This window comes from Homo sapiens, chromosome 11 (assembly GCF_000001405.40).
Source record: "Homo sapiens chromosome 11, GRCh38.p14 Primary Assembly".
NCBI lineage: Eukaryota > Metazoa > Chordata > Mammalia > Primates > Hominidae > Homo > Homo sapiens.
Window position 1 is genome coordinate 130,428,722 of NC_000011.10, and position 26,076 is coordinate 130,454,797.

Here is a 26,076-nt window from a genome sequence, read left to right on the forward strand (position 1 = left end):
ACTGAAAAGAGGGAGAGAGAGTGGAGAAAAAAAAATTGGGATGAAATGCAAAACCAATCAGGCAGCGAGACCCGTCCGCCACCCGCCCCCCTGAAGTGTCAACTACAACTTCTTTCCTTTCCCTCTACGCGTGGACCCACGTTAACCCCTACCATGCTGGACTGACCCTTTAGAAAGAGTCCCTGGGAGACCCCAACCGCTTTCTCCTCTGCGGCCAAGAGTCCAGGATGCATCTTCCGAAGAGGCTCGTGCACTGGTCTCAGCGACCCTGTTCGGATCCCTGCAGAGTCCGACTGCAGAGCCCGACACTGTTGGGATCCCTGCAGATGCCTCCGGAGATCCGACTGTGTGGGGAGAAGGTTCCTGAGCTTTTCATTGTAAAGCATAAAGGGAGAGGAGGAAAAGGTCATGCTAAAATCATGCCCTCCTCTCATCACTACTGCACAGCCTTCCTAACTTTCACTCCAAACTGAAGATGGGGAAAACAAAAACAAAACAAAAAACAACCCACCTGGTTAACCCTAAGAGGGACTCTCACTGTCCTGTTAGAGGGCAGGTGGGGCAGAGGCCAGCACAGTGGTAAGTTACCAGCACTGAGGTTGGAAGTTAGCATTTCCCCAAGAGGGAAACAGACCTCCAGTCCCTGAAAAAGGTCTTCTCTTCTGGATACTGCTAGTTGCCCGGGACTTCAAGTAAGGTGGCAGGCCCTTTCACTGCGTTGCCACAGCCCCAGGAACAAATGTGTATGAGGTGAATTTATTCTGTCCCATGTCACCACTGCCCCCTAGGGAAGGGGGTAGTATTCAGGAAGAGAGGGATGACATGGTCTCAAGACCACAAAACTGCATCCCATCCCAGTCTCAATGACACAGGTCTGGATTGGGTGGAGGGCCCTGTTCTCTACCTACAAACTCTAGACTCATCCACCAACTGTGCCTTTCTCTGAGTTGTCAATGTGGGTGATGCATTAGGAACCGCTGGGATCAGGGCCTTTAAATCCTTTGCCAATTCACCTGCCCCCAGGTACCCAGCTCTGTGCTTATGCTGGGGATGTTGACAGTCGAGGTCATCGCTGATTCTTTTCAGCCCATCTGACCCCTTCCTGCAGTGTGGTGGTTCAGCATGCATCTGAGACTCTCAGGGCTTGTTACCTCCAAAGAGGAGGCTCTTGCCCAGGGGAAAGTGCTGCCAAATTCCCTCTAAGTATCCCCCCTCTCTTTGCTTTCTCAGAAACACAGAGGGACAGCTGTGAATTAGATGAAAGGATGAACTTCCCAACCTAGCATGGTGCAGAACCTCCTTTCCTGCATAATTTATAGGATAGGAATAACGAGTCTAGAATGTTTTGGGGAAACACTTCTAGAGGAAGGACAATGGAAAGAATGGTCTCTTCAACCCTTTTCTCAAAACAAGCAAAACACTTCGTCCTAGCACAGTGTACAGTGCTTGGGACATCCTGTACAGTGCTTGGGACAGTCTGACCTGGGCAAGCAATGAATACAACTCTGTGTTGCCTCAGGGCTATTGTAACAGTTCAATGACTGGTTTTTACCTCCTTGAAGCCCCTTATTTGCTGTTTCCCAGAGTACAACTCCTGATTTTCTCTTTTTGAGACACAGTCTCACTTTGTCACCCAGGCTGGAGTGCAATGGTGCGATCTTGGCTTACAGCAACTTCTCCCTCTCAGGTTCAAGAGATTCTCCTGCCTCAGCCTCCCAAGTAGCTGAGACTGCAGGCAGGCACCACCACACCTGGCTAACTTTTGTACTTTCAGTAGAGATGGGGTTTCACCATTTTGGCCAGGCTGGTCTCCAACTCCTGACCTCAGGTGATCCGCCTGCCTCAACCTCCCAAAGTGCTGGGATTATAGGTGTGAGCTACTGTGCCAGCTAACTCCTGATTTTCAGTAGCAGTTAGGTCCTGTGGGTTTTCCTTCTTTCTCGAGTGTAAGCATCTGGGAGGAGTGGGAGTGAGGAGCGTGCCCAGTTTCCCTTTCTCCCGCCCGAATGCTAAGGGCTAGAAGTGGGAGATTTAACTGAACCAAGGAAAGTCTTGAGTGTCCATGGAGCCTTTGGTTGTGAAGGCTCTGGAAGTTGCTGCTTCATTTTTATTTTAGTTTTTAATTTTTTGAGATGGCGTTTCGCTCTTGTTACCCAGGCTGGAGTGCAATGGCGAGATCTCAGCTCACTGAAACCGCCTCCAGGGTTCAAGTGATTCTCTTGCCTCAGCCTCCCAAGCAGCTGGGATTACAGGCTCCTGCCACCATGCCCGGCTGATGTTTTTTTTTTTTTTTAGTAGAGACAGGGTTTCACCATGTTGGTCAGGCTGGTCTTGAACTCCTGACGTCAGGTGATTCTCCCACCTTGGCCTCCCAAAGTACTGGGATTACAGGCGTGAGCCACCGAGCCTGGCCACTGCTGCTTCATTTTTTTAATAGGATGAAGTGCCCCCATAGGTAGCATTTTGGAAGTTCTCTTTGGAGAGAGAAGTCAGATAGTGAGTTCTGGACTTTATCCTTCCTCATTTCAACAACAACATCACCACCACCCCCACCACCCCCACCACCCACCACCGCCGCCGCCGCCACCACCACCACCACCACCTGCTGACTGGTTCATTGACTGGCCCCGCAGTCCCCGCTCCCTCCTGGATTTCCCCTTCCCCAGATGTGCAGTGCTGCTAACTTCCAAGGTAGCTCCTGCCGTTCGCAATGCAACCACAAGGTGTCAGGCTTACCTTGGCTATGTTAAACCCAGGACCTGGCTATGTTAAACCCAGGACCTGGCTATGTTAAACCCAGGACCTGGCTATGTTAAACCCAGGACCTGGCTATGTTAAACCCAGGACCTGGCTATGTTAAACCCAGGACCCTTGCCACAGGGAGCGAGAAAGGGTGGGTGGTTTGTAGTGGCCGCTCTTAGAGGAGTGGCAGGTGAAAACAGTGCAGCAAAACAAACATCAACAAACCAACCCGTGAAAATCCCATAACGGCATTCTGCCAATTCCGGATTTCTTACATTACTACTTTATTTCCCAAAATATGTAATTACGGCAGGGTTGCCAAACTACGGCCCTTGGGCTAATTGCTGCACACTGCTTGTTTTTTTGCACTCTACAAGCTAAGAATAGTTTTTATATTTTTAAGTGGTAAATTAAAAAAATTAGAAAGAATATTAAAATTTCTTGACACTTGAAAATGGTATGAAATTCAAATTTGTGTCCATAAATAAAGTTTATTGGAATGCAGCCACAGCCATTCATGTACGCATTCTTTGCTCTTGAGCTGCGAGGGAAGGGTTGAGTAAGCCTAAAATATTTACTATCTGGCTCTTTGCAGAAAAGTTTGCTGACTCCTGAATGTAAAAGAGCATCAATTTGGATTCCTCAAATTTGGAATCTGGGATTACTTAAGCTCGCTATATGCCATTCTTATGGAATAAGAAGCTCAAAATAATTGCTTGCTCTGAATGTGAAAAGGAAATTATATAAAAAATGAAAATATCTTTGTTTTGTCTTTAATTCTGTATCTAATAGTTGCTTATTATTTAATCCATCCTTAATAATTAAAAGATTTTTATGTTTATGGTGTCTTATACTGTAGGCCTATAGTGATTTTTAAGTTTTTGATCAACTTACATTATTAGTGACTGCTTATTTCTTAGTTTATAACTAGAGTTTTATATGGTATATATGATACATTTTTAGTGTATATAAGTTCTGGTATTCTTTAGAATTCCAGACTCCTTAAAACGGGAAGAAACAATGGTGATCATCTAATCCACTGCCACTCACATTTTGCAGAGAAGAAACAGAAATTCAGAGGTTTCAGTGACTTACCCAAAATGACATAACTAGTGATGAATTTTTTTCCCCAAAATACTATCGTATCCTCTACATGAAGATAAAAAAATTGTTTTGCTTTAGAACTTCATTTACAATTCGTACATTTTCAGTAAAGTTTAGTGTTTACTATGGGCCTGGGCATTGTTCTGAGCACTTTTTTTTTTTTTTGAGACAGAGTCTTGCTCTGTCGCCAGGCTGGAGTGCAATGGAGCCATCTCGGTTCACTGCAACCTCTGCCTCCTGGGTTCAAGTGATTCCCCTGCCTCAGCCTCCCGAGTAGCTGGGACTATAGGCGCATGCCACCATGCCCAGCTAATTTTTAGTAGAGACAGGGTTTTACCATGTTAGCCAGGATGGTCTCGATCTCTTGACTTCGTGATCTGCCCACCTCAGTCTCCCAAAGTGCTGGGGTTACAGGCGTGAGCCACCGTGCCTGGCCGCACTTATTTTAATTTAATTTCCATTCAATCCTCAGTAATAATAGCTTCCATCTTTTGAGTGCTTGCTGTGCACTAGGCACTGTGCTGAGCAGCTCACAACTCTTATCTCATTTAATCATCATGACAGTCCTCTGAAAAAGACACCTTACAGACAGGTAAAGAAATAGGCTGGAGAGGTTAGAGAACTTGCTTATGGTCACCTAGCTAATAAGCAGCAGAGACAGAATTCTTAACCAAGGTGGAAATCATAAACTGGAAATTGAATACGACAGTTTTCTGGTGAGATTGTGGTACACTGAATTAGTGTTCCTTTGAGCAGAACCAAGGATTACATCATGGTATTACAGAGCTGGAAGAGACTCCAGGTGTTCATTGGGCCTGTCGTTGGAGATTTCTTGGGAGAATGGCCCTCCTTTAAAAATCTCAAAGAAGGGAATAAACAGCTTCTCTCAAAAGCCTGCGCTAGCACTTAAATATAAACAGAGTTCTTTCCTTCTAAACAAAGTAATACCATTTGTGCTACAATTCACGTCCATTTTCTGTAAGTTTGGCTATTGTGCAATGGCTGTGACTCCACATTGCCTGTAATAAAGGATTTCCTTGTCCTCCTCTATCATATCACTGAGCACACATCCCAGGCAGGCAATGTCTGATTTTTGGCATCACTTTTGTGCTGACAGTCGCCTTGTATTCCCTTTGGCCTGCAGGTTTCTGTGACTGCCACCTGCATGTGTGGAAGCATGTCTGTGCTGCTTAATTCTTCCTTAGTCCTAGATAGTCTCTCTTTTTGGAACCTTTAAAGGTTTTCAGTATTTAGAAAATCTTTTTTTTTTTTTTTTTTTTGAGACAGAGTCTTACTCTGTCACCCAGGCTGGAGTGCAGTGGCATGGTCTTGGCTCACTGCAATCTCCGCCTCCCAGGTTCAAGCAATTCTCCTGCCTCAGCCTCCTGAGTAGCTGGGATTATAGGCACCCACCACTATGCCTGGCTAATTTTTGTAATTTTAGTTGAGATGGGGTTTCACCCTGTTGGCCAGGCTGGTCTTGAACTCCTGCCCTCCGCCTCCCAAAGTGCTAGGATTACAGATGTGAGCCACCACGCCTGGCTGGAAATCATTAAATCATATCCCTGAGGCCACTTTAAGTTCAATTCCCTGTAAAGAGCTAGCTACTCTGATTATTTTTCCTGCCTTCATCTGGTGTTCACAGTCTCAACAGGCATGCTCCCAATTCTGTGATCTATATCAGGGAAAACCAGATTTAGCAGAAACTTTACTGCGATATTGACATTGTATTGCTTGCTAATGAGGTTTTAATTGATTTTAATACACTGAGAAACAAATTCACAAACAGCCCTTTCTGTTCCTGCCATTTGTATTCTTAGTGACTAACTGCCAAGTATTGGGTTCCCAAAGTTGCAGAAGAGATGGTTCCTGTTCTCCCAAGATACAGTCTTGTGGAGGAGTCTAGCAAGAAACTCGTAAAAGGTTGCCCAAGACTCCATGTGGAATGCATCCATGATTACAATCTGTGCTTACTACAGTACCTGGCCAGTAAGAGTTACTTGCACATTTTAGTATTATAAGCAGTAACAGTTGCCACCATGAGAACCGAGACATAGGTCATGCCTGTCTCACCACATTATGGCCAGGAGGTGGCACTGTTGGAACTTGCGCTCTCGCTCGCTCTCGGTCGCTCGCTCTCGGTCTCTCGCTCGCTCTCTGTCTCGCAACTTTCTAAAAAATTAGGCATCACTGCCGTGTCATGCCAGTCTAAGGAAACAGTCCTTCAACATTGTTCAAAAAATCTCAGCACACAGCAATTCCTCATAGCCAATCACCGGAGCCAGCTGAAGGAGGCTCTGTCCTGTTCCTTTGTTTAGCGTGAGTCGTGCGTCTCTCCTTCCTATTTATTCTTGTTTCTTCACTTTGATTTCTGCTCTTCATGACACCAGTGCCTCTCAACTCTAATGATCTCACAGGCTGGGAGAGCTTGCAAAGCTGAGATGTCTCCAGGGCCGGGGTCAACCTTAATCATGAGGACGGCTTGGTTTCTGTACACCCCAATTAATTAATGCAAACATGTATTTCTCCCAAATCTTCACTATTGATTGTAACCAGCAGGTGGGAGTGTTGGCATATTTACCTTTTATGGGTCCTGGAAGGAGAGGGTCTGAAAACGCCCTCAACAATGCATCTCACTAGCCACTAACCACTTCGGAGTTTATATATACATGTAATATGTGTAAATGTATTATACAAACTTGCAAAACTACACTTATTTATCTTTGTTTTAGAAGGAAAGAAAAGGGAAATGCAGGAAAGGAGCCAGGATCTTCAGGATCTGGGGTGATTTCTCCGAGCAGATAAGCTGCTTATTGAAAGTCACTGTAGCAAGTCCCAATGTAAGTCCCATTGTAACAAGTCCCTTTTACAAGGAACTTGGAAAAACTACCCAGTTCTTATAAATGTGCTTACAGTGAGTTAGAGTTGAAGTGCTAAGAAGCGTGCCTGGCACACAGTAGGCATGTTTATTGTTTTCTATCATCATCATCCTATCCTCATCATATATATTCCCATCTGGCCTGGTGCAAAGTATTTAAAATGTATCTTGTCACCTTTCCCCTCATCCTCAGGGTCTCTCTTCTTTTAGAATCACCTAGGGCTCTCCTCTGACCTTCTGTTCTCATGAACAGGAGGGAAGCCAATAAGTCATGAACGCTTTGTTTTGGTAGCAAGTACTACTAGAAATGTTTGAATTTTAAGAGATCCGAGGAAAGGGAAGCAAAAGAAATAAATGACTAATAGTAGAATTTCAGACACTGTGGCTCCAGCATGAGGGAGCAATCTGGCTGGGGTCCAGTGACACATGCCAGGGCCCCTAAGTAACTATGCTACCCGTCCCTGCTTGCATCTCTGCAGAACTTTGCACAGGGAGATATTTTTCATTCCTGGAAGTGTTTAAGCAATGACACGGGTACCTGCAGGGTGATAAAAGAGAATACCAGGACTGGGCAGGAGATTATAGGTCCTTGAAGGACCCATCCCTTCTAATTTTAAAATGTTCTTTAAAATTAAAAAAAATTAAAACTTATCCTTGATTTAAAGAAAGGGTCTTACTGTGTTGCCCTGACTTGTCTTGCCCTCCTGGGCTCAAGTGATCCTCCTGCCTCAGCCTACAGACACTGGGAGTAGCTGGGACTACAGGCACGTGCCACCTTGCTGGGCCTAATCTTCAAATAGTCTTGAGTAGTGGAGGATTATTTGGATTCTGGATAAGAAACACAGAGTTTTGTTTTTGTTTTGACTTTTAGATATCTACCCCCATTGCAAATTGTGCAGCTGTCTGTTGATCCCACTTCCTGAGGTTACAGGAGTTCTTTCTTTTTGTCAGAGCATTCTCTCTGGCAGGCGCTCTGTCTGGAGTCTCCTCATGCTCACTGGCATTAGAGAACTTTAAAGAGAGACGTAGACAGTAGAGGGGAATGGAACCTAGGAGATCCCTGTCTCTAACCTTTTACTTTTCTGATGGGGAAATTGAGACCTTGTTGGTCAAATGTCATTTGACCAAAGTCACACAACTGGTTGGCAGGAGATTCAGGGCCAGAATGTAGGTTCTCAGCCACTGTTCTCTTTATGTCACTTCGAATGCCACTGTCTCCTGAAGAGCAGGATCTGGGCATGACATGACCAAGTCCCGGGGCTGTCTGGAGGCAGGGCTGACAGTTCAATCTGGGTCCATGGAGTGGGGTGGGATGTGCTGATACAGTTCGGCATCTTCCCTAACCCAATGGACCATGTTATATTCATTCAGACTGCTCTCTTTTAGGATGTTTGTTTTTTTCTTCACGAAAAGAGCCTTCTATTATGGAGGAATTCAAAATGTCTATAATTTGGCCATATTTAGTGACTTACAAAGGAGTGTTTTACCCTGTGTAAAACTATTTAAGAATGTGAAGGTATCCTCTGATTGCTTCAAAAGATGATGTTGAAAGTAAGAAGGGCTGAGGACTTAGGAAGAGAGTGAGGTTTAGAGCAGCCACATGGTGGGAGAGGAAGGGGGGAGGGGGATAGATGTAGCCTTGTGCACGTACATGGAAAAGCATTTTAATTAGCATTGAAGCTTCAAATGTTGAAAGCTTTTTTTCCACAGCTTGCCTTGTGTGTATGTATGGACACCAACTCACATCAAACCTGCCCACCCACCTACACACATGTGCACACACACGTATTTCGGTGGTGCTGGGAGAAGTGGTACACCTTTCTGTTTCTCCTCTTTCTCATTTTTCCGCTTTTGCTCCCATCTCTGGGCTCCCACCCTAGTCTTCTCTCTTCTCCTTGGACTTTACCAGATTTTCTTCTTTCCTCCTTTCCTTCCTCAGCTCCCCATTCTCTGTATCTTCACTTCCAGTAAGTAATTCCATTAACCTACTCTATGTCACAAATGGTGCTAGACACCAGAGGCAAAGAAATGCAAAAGATAGTTCCCGTGTTCTGATCACCTCTTTCATCATGACAGCTCTTTGTCTGGCAAAAGAGAAAGTTAAATAGCCAAATAAATATAATATAATGCTGCAAGTACAAGAATAAAGCTATAGCCACAAAACGTGGTATACGGAGTAGTAGTTCAGTAGACGTCTATTGTTGGAAGTAATACATTATGTTGGAAATAACACATTATGAGAACCCAGAAAAAGTAGTGATAGCTGTGTTTTGATGGGCAGGCAGCAGGTTGGGAAGGATTCCATTTGAGTGATATTTTTGTTGGACTTTAATGAATGAGTAGGAGTTCACCAGGCACTAGAGGGAGAAACCCGCCCCCCGCCAACACACACACGGACACACACACAGACACGCACACACACAGACACACAAACATGAAGACATTAAAGAGTCTGCCATGTTTGAGAAAGTGAGGAGTTCCCTGAGTCTGCGGTGTAAGGGGCTGCTGAGGCATGGCAGGACTTGCAGCTGGGACAGTCAGCAGGGCCGGTATGTGAAGGGGGGTATTCATCACCCTGGGGACTTTGGGCTTTCTCCCAGAGGGCAATGCAGGTTCATTGAAGCCTTGTACTCAGGGAAGTGACATGACCGTATTTGTCTTTGGAAAGACAGCTCTAGCAATTGTGTAGAATCAGGATTGCATTAGTGGAGAGATTGGATAATGGAGACCTGTCAGGACATGACTTCAGGAGATGGCAGTAGCCTCAGCTAAGAAGTGGCGGCAGGGAGGAACGCGGTGGTCACGGGGAGAGAGATGAGGCTGCCTAGCGGAGGCCTGAGGTGAAGAGATATGCCACTGGCCTAGCTGGGAAAACAGCAGGGAAGAGGTGTAGGTGGACATGCTCATTGCTTTGGGTGTGTGCATGGGGGAGGAAGAAGTCTGGTACAATTTTGAAAGGAAACAAAGACAACCCCAAATTTCACAAATATTCATAGAGCAATGTGCCTTCCTTCCTTCCTTCCTTCCTTCCTTCCTTCCTTCCTTCCTTCCTTCCTTCCTTTTCCTTCCTTCCTTGTCCCCTTCCCTTCCCTTCAATTCCCCTTCCCCTTCCCCTTTCTTTCTTTCTCTCCTTCTTTCTTTCTCTCTCTCTTTCTTTCTTTCTCCCTCTCTGTCTCCCTCTCTCCCTTTCTCCCTCTCTCTCTCTTTCTTTCTTTCTTCTTTATTTCTTTCATTTGCTTCCTTTCTTTTTTGACAGAGTCTTGCTCTGTCGCCAGGCTGGAGTGCAGTGACAAGATCTTGGCTCACTGCAACCGCTGCCTCCCGGGTTCAAGTGATTCTCCTGCCTCAGCTTCCGGAGGAACTGGGACTACAGGCCTGTGCCACCACGCCCAGCTAAATTTTGTATTTTTAGTAGATACAGGGTTTCACCATGTTGGCCAGGCTGATCTCGGACTCCTGACCTCAAGTGATCCACCCGCCTTGGCCTCCCGAAGTGCTGGGATTACAGGGGTGAGCCACTGCATCCGGCTGAGCAATACGCTTTCACTCCCACTTCAACTGCACATGTCTGCACTTGACTCCCAAATCTGCCTTTCTGGTCCCCATCACTGCCTGAGCTTCATCACACATATTCATTGCCACCTTGATATCCAGAGGGTCCTTACCTAGCCTGAAACAGACTTTTTTCCCCATTCCTCCATTTCTCTCCTTTTCCACATTTCCTAGAGCACAGGTGACATCTGCCTGTCAGTTACCCTCCTTGCTGTCTCCTCTCCCCCCACAACTGGGGCCTTTCCGGAAGCAGGAAGCACCCCTGGTTTTCCTTTGCTGATTGCAGTGACTTTTACTCAGTTGGGTTCTGTGGTCAAGTGTCTTCCGGTTGGCCTGTTGGCTGATTCAAAATGTCAAGGTGGGAGGTACCGACATGAAGGAGGAGGTTCCTGGCTAGTTGAGGGAGAAAAAGGAGAGGGAGGGTAGAATCTTCACTTGGAGTGACTTGGCTTTTGGAGTCTCACCAACCACAGCTTGAAAGCATTGGGCAAGTTGCTGGGCCGCTTTTGCCAGCTTGGCTAAGAAGTGACATTACTGGACCCTATCATCTCTTGGCTCTCAATGATGACGAGAGGCTGCACAAAGGTGCAGAGAGGAGAGAGTGAGGGGAAGCATGGCGTGGAAAGCCTTTATGGAGGAGACAACATCTGTTTCCTCAGTAGAGCACTGGGGAACCCATGGTGGGAGAACAGCAGGGTCTGCTGGGCACCTCAGGCTCTGCTCTGGGAACTGTGTACAGGTGGGAGGTGGGCCTGAGCCAGGGCAGCCGGAAGCAGATTTCTTCTGTGACTGGCCAGGCTCAAACACTAGTTTTATGTTCTTCTTTAGTTAAATACCAGAGTTGTCTGCCCTTTAATTTCCAATGTTCTTGAGGATCGGAGAAAACTCACATCTATAAGCCTCGTGCATATCAGGTTCCTGGAGGCTCAGTTGTAAAGTGCACCTGCCTCTTGGGCCCATGCTGCCTTGTTGACTGGCCGTGATGCTCATTCCCATTGCCTACTCACCTCCCACTGCTGGAGTGAAACACATTCCGTCTGAAGTGAGGCGATGTGCGTTGACCATTGGTAAAAGAGAGGGCCAGATGAGCTAAGCATTCCACACAACATTTCTAAATGAGATGCCAGATGAAAAATTTGAGGTTGAGAGCTTGCTGAATGGAAGTCCTCCCATCCTGGCTCTGTTGGGCTCAGAAAGAAGCCTGGTGGATGACAGCAGGGTGAGTACACGGAATCAGTTGATGTGCATGTGCTTTTTATCAGCTATTTTCACCTTAGGATAAATGAAGACGCTGGTAGCAAATTTTGAGAGATGGGAGTGAGGACGCATGAGAAGAATTAGAGAGAGCAGCAGAAAGCATGGCGTGGGGGAGGCCAGACAGGGACTGGAGAGGGTGCAGGGGAGACGGGCATGCTGGGGGAGAGAATTGACAGTAGGGTGTAAACCACAAGGGGCTGCTGCCTCTGGGTTTCCACAGGCTACTTGCCTACCCCCTAAATTCACCTAGATGAAGAAAGTAAGAGCCTGCAGCTCCCCTCAGTTTTTCTTGGCAGAACAAATCAAATAAATTGCAGGCTCCTGCAACGGGAACTGTATCATACTTTCTGATTACAAGAGTCCTAAATAATGTTATTCAGTCTGTGGGCTCAATGTGTCATTACTAATGATAATGAGACCGTTCTTACTCTTTCTGTAAGTAGGGGATTCAAAACTCCAGGAAGCATTTAACTAGCACCCCAAAATAAAGCAACCTCAAATAGGGCCGGGACTGGGCCCTGGCTTGCTGACCTGCAATTCTGGCAGTGAGTTAGACTGATCCTTGCTCTTGACCTCTCAGTCATACAAGGGCTGGTATGTTAGGCTCAGGTCCTGGCATGGTCTTTTTGATTTTCAAGTGTTTTCACAACTTACTCCCAGTGAGAGAAGAAACTTTTCCTCCTCTTTGGGCATGGGCAGGTCTTTCTAAGCCTCTGGGAGTTAAAGAATGAACTTCTGAGAGGCTGCAAATCTCCCAAAATTGTGGGCAGAATTTTGCGTGTGCATGTGCCTGGGTGTTTGTCAGGGAGGAGGTTTCACAGTGTTTGTGGCATTCTCCAAGGATCCGGATGGTTAAGGATTGCTGCATTAGAGCCCACGTGATCTATGTTAATATCCAGTGAGCTGAGTTCCTTTAGTGTCTGTATTAGTCTGTTCTCTCATTGCTGTAAAGAAATACCTGAGACTGGGTAATTTATAAAGAAAAAGAGGTTTAATTGGCTCACGGTCCCACAGAATATACAGGAAGTATGATGCTGGCATCTGCTCTGCTTCTGGGGAGGCCTCAGAAAACTTACACTCATGGTGGAATGTGAAAGGGAAGCACATACATCATGTGGCCAGAGCAGGAGCAAGGGACAGAGAAGCGGGAGGTGCCAGGCACTTTCAAACAGGCAGCTCTCACAGGAACTCACTCACTGTCACAAGATCAGCCCAAGTGGGAAACCCGCCCCCGTGATTCAATCACCTCCCACCAGGCCCCACCTGCAACACTGGGAATTACCATTTGACATGAGATTTGGGTGGGGACAGAGATCCAAACCCTATCCATGCCATAGTGCACAGGCAGCAAAGTAAAAATGAACGCAGTGGGAAAAATACTCCATGGGTGTTTTCCGTGGCTTCTTGTTGAAGCTCCAAAGACAGTGGGCCAAGTCACTTTAGGGCCATTAAGCTAATTGTTGACCCAGAGTAGGCTCAGCTTAAAGGCAACTCATTGGATTCTCATGAATTCTATTTCAACTAGCTTGTGAGCATGTGTTCAAGGAGTGTGAGAAGGAGTATGTGTAGGGGAGGAAGACGGGGGAGAGCTGAGTGTGGCTGGAAGTGTATGATACTGGGGTACACCCATGGTATGAGTCAGAATGGGAAAATGAAAAATGGAAATAGGATGGTCTTACCAGAAGAAAGGCAGCTGAGGTCAGAGGAGTCCCCAGGGCTGGAATTTAACAGGAGAGGAGTGTTTCAGTTATACATCTGCTGCTCAGGGATAAGGTGATCTTTGTTGAGTCACTTAAACTCTGAGTCTTAGTTCTTCTTACTCAAAAAGGAGATGTTAATAACTCCTGTCCCATCGCTCCCCTCCCTGAGTATTTTTGTAAGGATGGAATGATAATATATATCAACTTATTTACAAGTCATATGGTATTTTGTATATGTCAAGTATTTTTATTAGGAGGGAGGATGAGCTAATGGAAGAAACCATGCTACCTGGGAGAGCAATCAATTTTGTGTTGGGACCTCATCTGGGTTGCAGGAGCCCGGAGGTGGTCCTTTGCTAGAGATGGGGTGGAGGCCTGAGGCTCAAGGTCAAGCTCAATCTTGAAGCTACTCTTTGTTGACGGTGGGAAAAGGGGCATACTGGGAAGAGTAGAGGAGATAGAAGCTTTTTGGCAGGAAAAACTAATTGCTTTCTAAATCCCTAGATAGGAGTTGAGGATTTAGCATCCATCTCATCTCTATTTTAGGCATTCTCCTTCAACCAGCCTAAAAGCTAAAGGTGCAGCTATACGCAGAATAGCCAAGAGCTCCAAAGTAATTTGTCCTGGGGCGTGTGTGTAAATCTATAAAATAAATGATTGAATCAGGGAGCCCTAGATTTCAGGGGGGTAGCTGTTATTTAAGACTGTCTAAGGGGGATTCAGGGTGAAAGGAGGCAGCCTGGAACTATTGTTTGTTGAGTTTGTCCAAGCCACATCAAGACCCTTTGCTCTAATTTCCTAGCATCCAAGAGAACAAATACAGGAGTTAGCACCAGAGAGACTTCTACTTAAACGCTTAGCCCCAGAGTCAAAAACAGAGTGGGTGGCTGAGAGGGAAAAAACAGAGTTAAATATTTCCTCTGAGTAATGAAGAATGAACTCAGGCCAGGGCTGTAATTCATGGGGCCTTAGATGAATCTCCAGCTGCTTCAGCTGTCTCTGCATCTGGGAGAAGACCAGCCAAGAGCTCCAGCAGTTGTGGAAGCCAGTGGATGATGGCAGCTCAGTCATTTAACACTCGCTGGGCCTTCCCGGGGGCTTCCTGAAGCCTGTGCCTTTCTATACTTTGCCTGCTTTGCCCACCTCTGTGGCACAGATTCCAAGAGGAGCAGATTAAACGCATCTGGGATTTTTAGGGATCTTTGGTAAAGAATGATCAAGTCCTAAGCTCAAAACATGATAAATTTGTACATCTGTTTTCATGCTGCTGTGTAAAAACCGATTTAAGTCCTAACATGGTAGGCCAATGATTTAGAATAGCTAATCTGGGGAATTGGGAGACTTTCCTAAGTCATTTCCCTGCCCATTAAAATCTTGCCCAGATCATAGTGCTTGTCCCTCCACCCCGTTTTTCTCCTTAATTATTTTCTCCTGTTTTGAAGAGATCCTCCAGGATGCCCAATTTCACAGGTAGGCAGAAGTCATCCTGTGATGACTTCTGTGATGACTTCATCCCGTGATGAAGAAATCTGCCGGGCGCGATGGCTCATGCCTGTAATCCCAGCACTTTGGGAGGCCAAGGCGAGTGGATCACAAGGTTAGGAGTTCGAGACCAGCCTGGCCAAGATGGTGAAACCCCGTCTTTACTAAAAATACAAAAATTAGCTGGGCATGGTGGCGGGCACCTGTAATCCCAGCTACTTGAGAGGCTGAGGCAGAAGAATCGCTTGAACCCAGGGGGCGGAGGTTGCAGTGAGCTGAGATTGCGCCACTGCACTCTAGCCTGGGCGACAGAGCAAGACTCTGTCTCAAAAAAAAAAAAAAAAAAAAAAAAAAGAAGTGAAATCCAAACCTAATCCTTGTGGCTGCCTCCTTCTGGCCTCTGTGAGTTACCTTTTTGAGTTGATCTTCTACCTGGAACCTGCCGCATCCAGCTGGCTTGACCAGGAAGTTAACACCTCCTCTGGGGACTGTCATGGAGACTAGTATAATAGGAAAGGAAGCCCTCCTTTTGATGAGTTTCCAGACAAGTGTGGCTGCAGCCCAGTCTCGGGAAAAGGGATGAACACACAATTAGCAAAGGGCAAGCGAGTTCAAATGGACTCTGCCTATGCTGGAAATGGGATGCATATATGCCAGAGGAACTAACAAAAAAGAGCAACCAGAGCTGTGTGAGTTAAGTCAAGGGGCTTCCTATAGGAAGTGAGGGTTATATAGGCAGGCATGGATGAGGCTGAGAGGCCATTCTGTATGGGAGGAAAGGCTCACATAAATACGCATGCTGAAAGAACACTTTCTGAGCAGGAGCACTCAAGCTAATGAATTTAGCTAGGGCCAGGCTTTCAGATGAAGAGTAAAGAGAAACGATTTCATGAGATGAGTAGAGAAACTGGCTGGGTAGCCTTAGGCAAGTAACTTCCTTTCTCTGGACCTCAGCTGCCACACCTATGGGATGAAGGTAGTGGGCTAGGTGACTAGGGTACTAGGCTAGGTGACTGGGGTATTGGGTTAGGTGACTAGGGTACTGGGCTAGGTAACTAGGGTGCCAGGCTAAGGTTTTTGTCAGAGAGATGTAGAAATACATAATTATGAGAGAAGTATGTCAGGCACTCGCTCTATGAGAGAGCCACATTTTCATTGTGGAGATGAAGTATCTTGTCCAATATTTTACAGACTGTAAGGGACCAAGCTGGATTAGAATTGGGTTGATTCATTTGCTCAGTATCTTTGGAGCGCCCCTGTGAGCCCAGCACTGTGTCAGGCTCTGGGAGATATAACAGTGAACGAGATGGGGAAGGTCCTGCTCTCATTTTAACGGAGGGAAGTCAGTCAAGAAAAAAAAAAAAGATCTAAGTGAGCAAAATAGGTTTAGATAGAGAGATAGAGGTAAATGCTAGTGGACAAGACAAAACATGCAATCATGATTGTGACTTGGGACTTCTCAGATTGGGCGGTCTGGGAAGGCCCCTCTGAGGGGGCTGTACTTGGGCTGAGACCTGGAGGCTGTGAAGAGGCCAGCCTAGTTGGCGAAGGACAGAAAGGCCAAGCTGGGGGTCTTAGATCTGACAGATGGCTTAGACCCCCAGTCGTCCTCTGGGGGAAGAGCTGCTTTTTAAAAAATTTTCATTTTCATACATTGACAGGGAGTTGCTTTTTATTTTCCAGGGATGTTAAGATCATGGAGGGCAGGAGAAGCGAGAACTCCATGGCGGTTGTGGAGTCCCGTTATGGAAGTGGGACGTGGGAGCCAATGTGAAAGCTCCCGAGCAGAACTGGGAGAGGACACGCCCCAGAAAACTTCAGAAGGTGATGACAGCAATCAGCTTGGAGGGCCTAGCAGAGACTGATAGCACTAGGAGGAGTAATAATAATAGCACATAAGAATATTAGCAGTACTATTCGATAATATTTAAGGAACTTTTAAAATATACCAAGCATTGCCAAACACTTTGGAAGTATAATATTAACTCATTTAGTCCAGGCAGTGGGTAGAATTTGTATCCCCATTTTAATAATGAGAAAAGTGAGGCTTAGAGAGGTACAGTAATTTACCCAAGATTGCACAGCTAAGATCTGGTGGAGGCATGCACACAGGGCCCTCTGACCATGGGCTCTAAATCACTGTACTATGTTCCCTTCCATAGGCCTCAATCAGTCATGTAATATTTGACCTGGTCGTTATCTTAGGTATTATCTAGACCACAGATTTTGGATGCAGTTCTCTGGCTGAAGACCTCTGAGCTAGGATAACCCCTTCTCTTTTGACAGACGAGTCAGAGAATCAGATCAGTGATAGAAGTGGAGTGCCAATCCTGAGTATCACCTCTACTCAAGTGCTCAACATATCCCTAGATCCTCAATTCCCTGGCAAAAGTGATTGGATGGAACCACAGGCTTCCAAGAGGGGACAGTCAAGCATTAAATACGAGAATGCACATATAACTCTTGGTGCAATGTTTAGCACATACTAAGCCTGCAATACATGCTAATCCCTTTGAGCAAATCCACATGGCCAGTTTCTGTGCTCAGGGGTGAGAATAGCTGGGCTGTGATTGGGGCAGGGGGAGCACTAAGTGGGAGGGACTTCCTGTCTCAGGTCCCTGCCATCTTGACTGACATGCTGCAGCCCTTGCCAAAACCCATGGGTCAGAATGAAAGTAAAGTGCCGTTGAAAACCTTGCAATCCACCTTTAAAACTGCCGGGTGTAGTAAAACAATTGCTTGCCCCAAATAAATGACTTATCATTGCTGTTGGTTGTCTGCGTTTCTCTTTAATTATAGGCCCTCTTTGAACGCTCAAACACACAGGGCCTTTGTAAGCTTGAACTCCCTGTCTCACACACAGTCCTCCCATACCCATACACTCTCTTTCATTTGCAGAGTATAAACACCCATCTCTCACTCATTCACATAATGAATTTCAGCTCCTTGTGTCCCAATCAAGGAGAGGCCTCACTGGAATTATGGGCATCTGAGCCATCTTCATGTTCCAAGGCCCCAGGGGGCGCTTCCAAGAGTGGATCCTTTATGGGGAGAAGATAATGGGCAAAAAGTGCTCTTCACTGATGGACCAGTCCCAGCCTTTTCTCTCCTTGGACAATAGAGTTCTTCCCTTGAACAGCCACTTCCCTAAAAAAAATTCCAAAATTCTCCCACATCATCCCCTTTATGCTTAAAATCATCACACACTCCCTTCTTTGTCCTCCCCTCTTGCAAACTCAACTCAGAGCCCTTTGGCTCCAGAAAGATTTTCTAGGTATCAGGAGAGAGTAGCAAAGCCTCCCTCCTCTCCTTGCCTTTCTCCCTTGTCAGAGAAAGAAGTTGATTCTGCGGAGAGGTAAGAAGGATCTTGAGGTCTAGAGCCTGAAAAACTCCTTGGGCTGTTCTCCAAACTAGATGGGAACATAAGGTGCGATTGCATCTTCTCCAGCTGATACTCACTCGGCCTCCTATGCCAGTCCCCAGTCCAGGGTTTGGTCAAGGGTCAAATGAGATAATTTCATGGAGGAAGCCTGGCCCGATTTTTCTACTGTTTGCTGGAAGACAGCCTCTTCCTCTTGTAACTGCAGCCCCAGAACCTGATCTCCACATCCCTGCCAGGCAGGTAGCTGTGTACAAGGGCTCATCTTCCTGCCCCCAACCCCAGCTCTGATTTGCTTATTCAGGTGGTGTAAATACTTCTACCAGGACCTATTTCAAGCCATTGTGATGTCCCTGACTGGGGAGATGCAGGGCAGCACACCATTTAATATTTCCCTCACATTTCCACCCCATTCTGCACTCTTTTCTGGGAGTTGCTGTCTCAGAGGGTTGGCGGTTCTGGTGGCTCAAGACCATAAGTAATTATCAAATACTTAGGAAGCGACGGGTTTTGAGTATTTATTACCTTTTAAAAATGTACTTTGTGGCTAGGCATGGTGGCTCACGCCTGTAGTCCCCGCACCGGGAGGCCGAGGTGGGTGGATTGCTTGAGCTCAGGAGTTCAAGACCAGCCTGGGCAACACGGCGAAACCCAGTCTCTACCAAAAATACACACACACACACACACACACACACACACACACACACACACACACAAATTGGCCTAGCGTGGTGTCGTGTGTCTGTGGTCGCAGTTACTCAGGAGACCAAGGTAGGAGGTAGGAAACCAAGGTAGGAGGATCACCCGAGGTCGGTAGTTCGAGACCAGCCTGACCAACATGGAGAAACCCTGTCTTTACTAAAAATACAAAATTAGCTGGGCGTGGTGGTGCATGCCTGTAATTCCAGCTACTTGGGAGGCTGAGACAGGAGAATGGCTTGAACCCGGAAGGCGGAGTTTGCGGTGAGCTGAGATCGCGTCATTGCACTCCAGCCTGGGCAACAAGAGCAAAACTCCGTCTCAAAAAAAAAAAAATATATATATATATGTGTGTGTGTGTGTGTGTGTGTGTATGTATATATATATATGTATGTGTATATATATGTATGTGTGTGTGTGTGCATATATATATATACACTTTGTTTAATTGTAAGTGTGTTTAGTTTAATTTTTAATAATGTCCGTGATTAACAGCTGGCTGGCAAGATTCCTGAGAACTGAAGAGTTTGCCCCAGCCCATCCAGCACACCATGGGCCCAGGGCAGACCTTGGGGCTAGGCGGTCTTGGGTTCCAGAGGGCTCCCATGCCCCTGTCCTATTGCTCTTCTGGCAATAGGACATTTACGCGGGGGGGGGGGTGGTTCTTGATTCTGGGTCTTTTAGGGGACTCTGTGATTAAGAAACAGCAGGGATGTTGCAACAGCAGGGATGAGGTGGGCCTGGGGACGGGTCAGTGAAGGGTCTTCATTCCTAGCTGCTGACCTGATCTGCCCTGAGATAAAAGACTAAGACCCAGAGAGTGAACGCTGTCCGCGGGGGCAGAAGCGAGTGAGGCGTCGGGACAGTGGGGCATAACCAAGAGCAAAACGCAAACTGAGACTTCAGCGCCGGTTTCTCGGGCCAGCCCACGCCTCCTGCCTCAGCTCAATGCCACTCCCTCCCCGCCAAGTGGCTCTCCGCTCTGGAGGCGGGACCGAGTTCTCCGGTGGCCCCTGGAGGCTCCGGCAGCGAGCTCTGGGAGGCTGGGAGGGGAGTGAGGGGAGGGGCGCTGACTGGGCCGTCCAAAGAGGAGGGGGCCTTTAATAGGCTCGCCCAGCGCCTGGCTTGCTGCGCTGCGAGTGGCTGCGGTTGCGAGAAGCCGCCCGGCACCTTCCGCTAGTTCTCGGCTGCAAATCTTCGTCCTTGCACTTGACAGCGATTGTACTTAAGCTCCCAGGGCGCGCTTTGCTTGGAAAGGCACAGGTAGGAAGCGCGGGCTGCCGGGTGCACGCTCGCCGCCCTGGGAGGAGTCTCCCTCCCTTGGCTCTCCTTTCTGGGAACTGCCGGCTGTCCCGTAGCGTTGGCGGTTCCAGAGTGCGGGCTGCACGGAGACCGCGGCAGCGGCCGGAGAGCCCGGCCCAGCCCCTTCCCACAGCGCGGCGGTGCGCTGCCCGGCGCCATGCTTCTGCTGGGCATCCTAACCCTGGCTTTCGCCGGGCGAACCGCTGGAGGCTCTGAGCCAGAGCGGGAGGTAGTCGTTCCCATCCGACTGGACCCGGACATTAACGGCCGCCGCTACTACTGGCGGGGTCCCGAGGACTCCGGGGATCAGGGACTCATTTTTCAGATCACAGCATTTCAGGAGGACTTTTACCTACACCTGACGCCGGATGCTCAGTTCTTGGCTCCCGCCTTCTCCACTGAGCATCTGGGCGTCCCCCTCCAGGGGCTCACCGGGGGCTCTTCAGACCTGCGACGCTGCTTCTATTCTGGGGACGTGAACGCCGAGCCGGACTCGTTCGCTGCTGTGAGCCTGTGCGGGGGGCTCCGCGGAGCCTTTGGCTACCGAGGCGCCGAGTATGTCATTAGCCCGCTGCCCAATGCTAGCGCGCCGGCGGCGCAGCGCAACAGCCAGGGCGCACACCTTCTCCAGCGCCGGGGTGTTCCGGGCGGGCCTTCCGGAGACCCCACCTCTCGCTGCGGGGTGGCCTCGGGCTGGAACCCCGCCATCCTACGGGCCCTGGACCCTTACAAGCCGCGGCGGGCGGGCTTCGGGGAGAGTCGTAGCCGGCGCAGGTCTGGGCGCGCCAAGCGTTTCGTGTCTATCCCGCGGTACGTGGAGACGCTGGTGGTCGCGGACGAGTCAATGGTCAAGTTCCACGGCGCGGACCTGGAACATTATCTGCTGACGCTGCTGGCAACGGCGGCGCGACTCTACCGCCATCCCAGCATCCTCAACCCCATCAACATCGTTGTGGTCAAGGTGCTGCTTCTTAGAGATCGTGACTCCGGGCCCAAGGTCACCGGCAATGCGGCCCTGACGCTGCGCAACTTCTGTGCCTGGCAGAAGAAGCTGAACAAAGTGAGTGACAAGCACCCCGAGTACTGGGACACTGCCATCCTCTTCACCAGGCAGGTGAGTTGATCTGCCGTCACTTTGCACCCAGATAGTCCCGTTCTTTAGGGTCACCTCCCCTAGCGCTCCAAATCCCCTTTGTATCGTGCAATGCCTCCGAGTTTAAACCTCGTTGATCTCTTCCGACTCCAACTCTGTGGAGTTTCCAGGGAGAGCCCTCTCCCACGCTCCGCGGAGCGGCGGCTCACGTGCATCTGGGCCATTGGAGGAGAGCCTGCGCTTTCCGAAGGTGTTGGCCTGGCGCGGCCAATCAGCGCCTCCTGGATCAGGCGCCGAGGGGCCGGAACCCAGGAAGTTGCCGCCCCGGAGCTGCAGTTTGTGTCCAAGACCGATAGGAGACGCCGTGAGGATGGTGTTGGAGAGGGCGGGAACGGCCCACCCCTATTGTATGGGCGGCTGAGTCTTCTCGGACACCTCCTGAGGTCTCCTTTCAAGGGTTGTAGAACTGAAGGTGATCCAAGGTCAGCGCTTGCTACATTTCTCTCGGGTAACACGTTGTCCCCTCTCTGTACTGGGCCTGGAAAGCCTGGATTGGGGTGGAGGGAATCATTGAGAGATTTTGTGGGTTGCAGTGACAGGCCAGACTCAAGTACTGCGAGCATCCCTCCTTCACTGCCGCTTCTCCTACAGACTTCTCTGCTGGGCATGGTCCAAGAGGCTTCTAGACCATTCTGAGCAGGCGGTGTAGTTAGGGCACCTGTTTGGAGCTGAGACTGTTTCACTTGGAGTTTCAAGTGGAGTTTTACTTGGAGCTGAGTTGGGAAAATCTCTTCCAATTTTCCTGTATCCTTGCTGTCAGAGGGTGACCCGTTTGCCCAGATGTATACTACAGAGCAGAGCGGGCATGCTTGCTCCTGCTCCCAAGTCACTAAAATTCCTATGACCACACTTGACTTCAGGGCTCTAGCTTCTGCCCTTGCTGGGGTGGAAGTGGTGTGAGCTTAGTCAAGAGTATTTGGAGATTCCAGCTGTAGAGTTAGAAGGAAACTGAGTATTGGGATTAGAAAGATGGACCCAGCCCAGGAAGCAGCCCTGCCTTTTGCAAGGCCTTTCCTGATATTCTATGTCAAAGAAGCTACAAATCTGCAAACGTTTAGATTCACAGGTGTTGGAGTGATTGGGCACTGAGGAGTATTTGGATTCTTGAAATTTCTCAGATACAGGAGGCTGGGAGGAAAAGAGCCATCCAAGTGAGCCTCTTCTTCTGATTTGGGGGACTGTGACTTGAATCTGTGCCATGCTCTTTTTTTTGGTTATTATCATAACCACAGCACTCTGGGGATGGCGTGGAATCCTTGGTTACCTGTGGGGCTCTAACTCTCCACTGTTTCCAAATGGTCACTCAAAGTTGGACTGGCGCACACAGTCTGGAGCTGGAGTCTTCCACAGTAACCCATTTGGCACAGCTAGTCCCTTCCTGGAGTCGAACTTCCTCTGTTCCCAGCCTTCTTCTCCTCCCACCACCTGGTTTCTCTAGGGAGGTCTTTGGCCTGAGTCTGTTTCCTTGTGCTCATTCTTCCAACTGAGGTCTGTTGAGCTGCCACTGCCCAGCCTCTGCAAGCACTGCCTGAGTCATGGGGAAGCTGCAAAGGAGGTGGCTTTGACCTCTGCACACAGACCAGCTTGGCAGTTAGATTGCTGGGGCTTGAAAAAAAGCAAAGGCCAAGAACAGGATATCTTAATGGGCAAAGCAGCTGTTGCCCCATTCGTTACCTGGGCTGCCCCAGTGCAGGTCACTCACTGGCTCCAAAATAAAAGACCTCAGCCTCTGCAGCCTGGTGGTGAAGGCTGGCTTCTGGAGTCAGCCCTAGGAGAAGAACTCCTGCTGGGAATAGGGACCATGCCGTCAGAAGGAGGCCGCCTTTTGAAGAAGAAGCAATCAAACAGCATGACAGCTTCTATTTCTCAGTGGTGTGTGCTCAACCCCCCGGGGGCTGTGTTGTCCATGCATAATGGGTACAAGATGCATGACCACTGGATCAGAAGCAGTGATGTGCAAAATGTGACTTTTAGAAGCTGCCTTCCCCTTAGGTGCCTAGAGAGCAAAGCTAGAGAGTGAGGCTTCTGTGTGGTCAGGGCCACCATCAAGGTATGTACTTTATGCTTCAGAGGAAACCCCTCTTCCCCACCTCCTCAGCAGCTCAGACTTCAGGGCCTACTGCATTCTGAGAGTCTCAGGATCTTCTCACTCCTGATATCTCTGGGGGAAGGTACAGTATTTGATGAGAACAGGAGGGAGTAGCTGCCCTTTCTAAGATTAAGGCAGATGCGGTCTCCGGGAACCTTAACTGCCCGGAAAGGAGAATATAGTGGTTATACAACAAGTATTTTGACAATTTGAGGAGTTTACTTACAGATTCAGAATAAGTTCATGGAGAAAAGTGCACATCTGATTTTGCAAAGTGATCGGTCTCCAGGCTCATAACAGCAGGGTGAGGTCAGCACAGGACTGGAACCAGGATCTGCGAAGAACTAGAGCCAGAGTGTTTCTCATTTATTTCTATGAGGAGAAAAGTTTCTTTGGCTTCTTGTTGCATTGGGCGGCAGGAGCCAGGTATTTAATGCCGAGACTTGGTAGGCCCTCCCTCATTCCCTGAGACTTCTCTGTCTTTAGGTCCAATAACGCTGCCGTTTGGGTGACCCTTTGTGGTAGAATGGCTTTCATTCATTTATTTGTACACTCTTTTAATACTTGTTGAGCATTACTTATTATTATTTCTAGGTACTACCCTGGGCTGTGGAGCTACAAATTGTAATAAATTGTGGCCTTGGCCGGGCGCAGTGGCTCACGCCTGTAATCCCAGCACTTTGGGAGGCCAAGACAGGTGGATCATGAGGTCAAGAGATCAAGACCATCCTGGCCAACATGGTGAAACCCTGTCTCTACTAAATATACAAAAATTAGCTGGGCGTGGTGGCTCACGCCTGTAGTACCAGCTACTCAGGAGGCTGAGGCAGGAGAATCACTTGAACCTGGAAGGCGGAGGTTGCAGTGCGCCGAGATCATGCCACTGCACTGCAGCCTGGTGACAGAGTGAGGCTCTGTCTCAAAAAAAAAAAAAAAAAAATTGCGGCCTCAGGTCCCCAGGAATTCACCATGGGATGGGGAGCTTACAAGACAACAGCTAATTTCAGCAGGTTGTGCTAAGTGCCAGACCAGCCCTGTTGGGGAGGAGGGGCGTTCTCCTGAATGCTGAAGCTAAGGAAGTGCTCCAAGGGACGGGAGCAGGAAGGGCACTGGCTGCGGAGTCGGGGCTGGGGAGGGGAGCTTGTTTTCTATGTCGTCAGATGCCCTCTCCTCCATTCCACTTCTGCTTTGCTCTCTGTGACCTTTTCTCCTTTGGACTGATTTTTTTTTTTTTTTTAGGACTTGTAGTTTATGGTTTTACTGTCTGTTTCTTCATTTCTTTCTTCTTTTTTTTTAGGACTTGTATTTTATGGTTATTCTGTCTGCTTCTTCATTTATTTCTTTATTTTTTTTAGGACTTGTATTTTATGATTATTCTGTCTGCTTCTTCATTTATTTCTTTATTTTTTAGAGATAGGGTCTCATTCTGTCACCCAGGCCATCAACTCACTGCAGCCTTTAACTCCTGGGGTCAAGTAATACTCCCACCTCAGTCTCCTGAGTAGCTGGACTACAGGCCTGCACTACCGTGCCCAGCTAATTTATTTTTGTAGAGACAGGGTCTCACTATGTTAACCAGGCTGATCTTGAACTCCTGGCCTCAAGAGATCCTCCTGCCTCAGCCTCCCAACGTTTTGGGATTACAGGTGTGAGCCACCATGCCTGAGCTCTGTAATATTCTTTGTGAGAAGACTTTTAACTACAAATTTCATTTTTAAAACATATATATTCAAGTTATTTTTCTTGAGTGAGCTTTGGTCATTTATATTTTTCAAGAAATTTTTCCATGTCCTTTGAGTTGCGAATTTATTGACAAAAAGTTGCTTATAATATTGTCTACTATCTTTCTCACCTCAGTCTCCCAAGTAGCTGGGACTACAGGCATATGACTAATTAAAAAAATGCCTGACTAATTAAAAAAAATTTCTTTTTTTGGAGACGAGGTCTTGCTATGTTGCTGTGTTGCCCAGGCTGGTCTCAAACTCCTGGGCTCAAGCGGTTTGCTCGCCTTGGCCTCCCAAAGTGCTGAGATTACAGGCGTGAGCCACTGCGCCTGGTCTATTTTGTTTGTTTGTTTTTTTCCTGTTGCCTCTTCATATCATTTGATGCCACCTCTGTTTCCTCTCCTCTCACTCTTCTTCCATGCTCTCACCTTCCTCTTTTGGGACCATCCAGGCAGGATCTTTGCAGTCTTTCTCTTCCCCCTTATTCTCTTCATTTGTACTCTGACTTTTCCCCTCTCACAACCCTGAGCTTGGTGCTATCTTCTTGTTTTGACCTTGAGCAGTACTGTGTTTCATTGGGGATGCCCTACACTGCGCAGAGCGGAACAGCATTCTAGAACCTAATGTGAAACAGACGCCAGTTCTTTTGGTGATAAAGCACTTGTCATAGGGCAGTGATATTTAGTGTTCAGATAAAAATAGTTAATAATGAAGTGATAATACGTATGTTACACATATCTCCCTATACAATAGAAAAAGATCATGATTTCATTAGGATCTTTCTTGAAGTCGGGCCTTGGAAGATATTAGGAGAGAGGTCATTGGTAGATTGAGTATTTAATAATTTGTTATTCTTGGCCACTAACTGGAAACACAACACCATGCCTTCTGGGAGGGAGGAGGGAAGGAGTGGGAAGAGAGAGGGAGGAGTGCAATATGTTGGTTCCCTGTCGTGCAGGATGAGTGCTCGCTCTCTTTAGTTACATCAAATGAGTTCACCTGATATTAATGTCAG

At 47.8% G+C, this 26,076-nt stretch overlaps 1 protein-coding gene across 2 annotated transcripts in view, besides 1 other annotated feature; it reads left to right on the top strand.

Moving 5' to 3' along the window:
- ADAMTS15 (ADAM metallopeptidase with thrombospondin type 1 motif 15) overlaps nt 19,924–26,076 on the top strand; it is a 28,001-nt gene continuing 21,848 nt past the window's right edge. Inside the window, exon 1 of one of the 2 annotated variants that reach the window (NM_139055.4) lies at nt 19,924–21,209. In NM_139055.4, coding sequence (NP_620686.1) covers nt 20,253–21,209 — 957 coding nt within the window. In that variant the 5' untranslated portion in view covers nt 19,924–20,252. Of the gene's footprint in view, nt 21,210–21,415; nt 21,671–26,076 lie in introns of those variants that run through there. The other variant, XM_005271419.5, reaches the window with a different exon arrangement.
- Nucleotides 22,893–23,394: an enhancer, noted in NCBI's record as "NANOG hESC enhancer chr11:130321509-130322010 (GRCh37/hg19 assembly coordinates)". NCBI's record gives its function as "activates a minimal SCP1, AML or CMV promoter by ChIP-STARR-seq in naive H9 embryonic stem cells {active_cell/tissue: H9 hESC(naive)}" and the evidence as "EXISTENCE:reporter gene assay evidence [ECO:0000049][PMID:30033119]".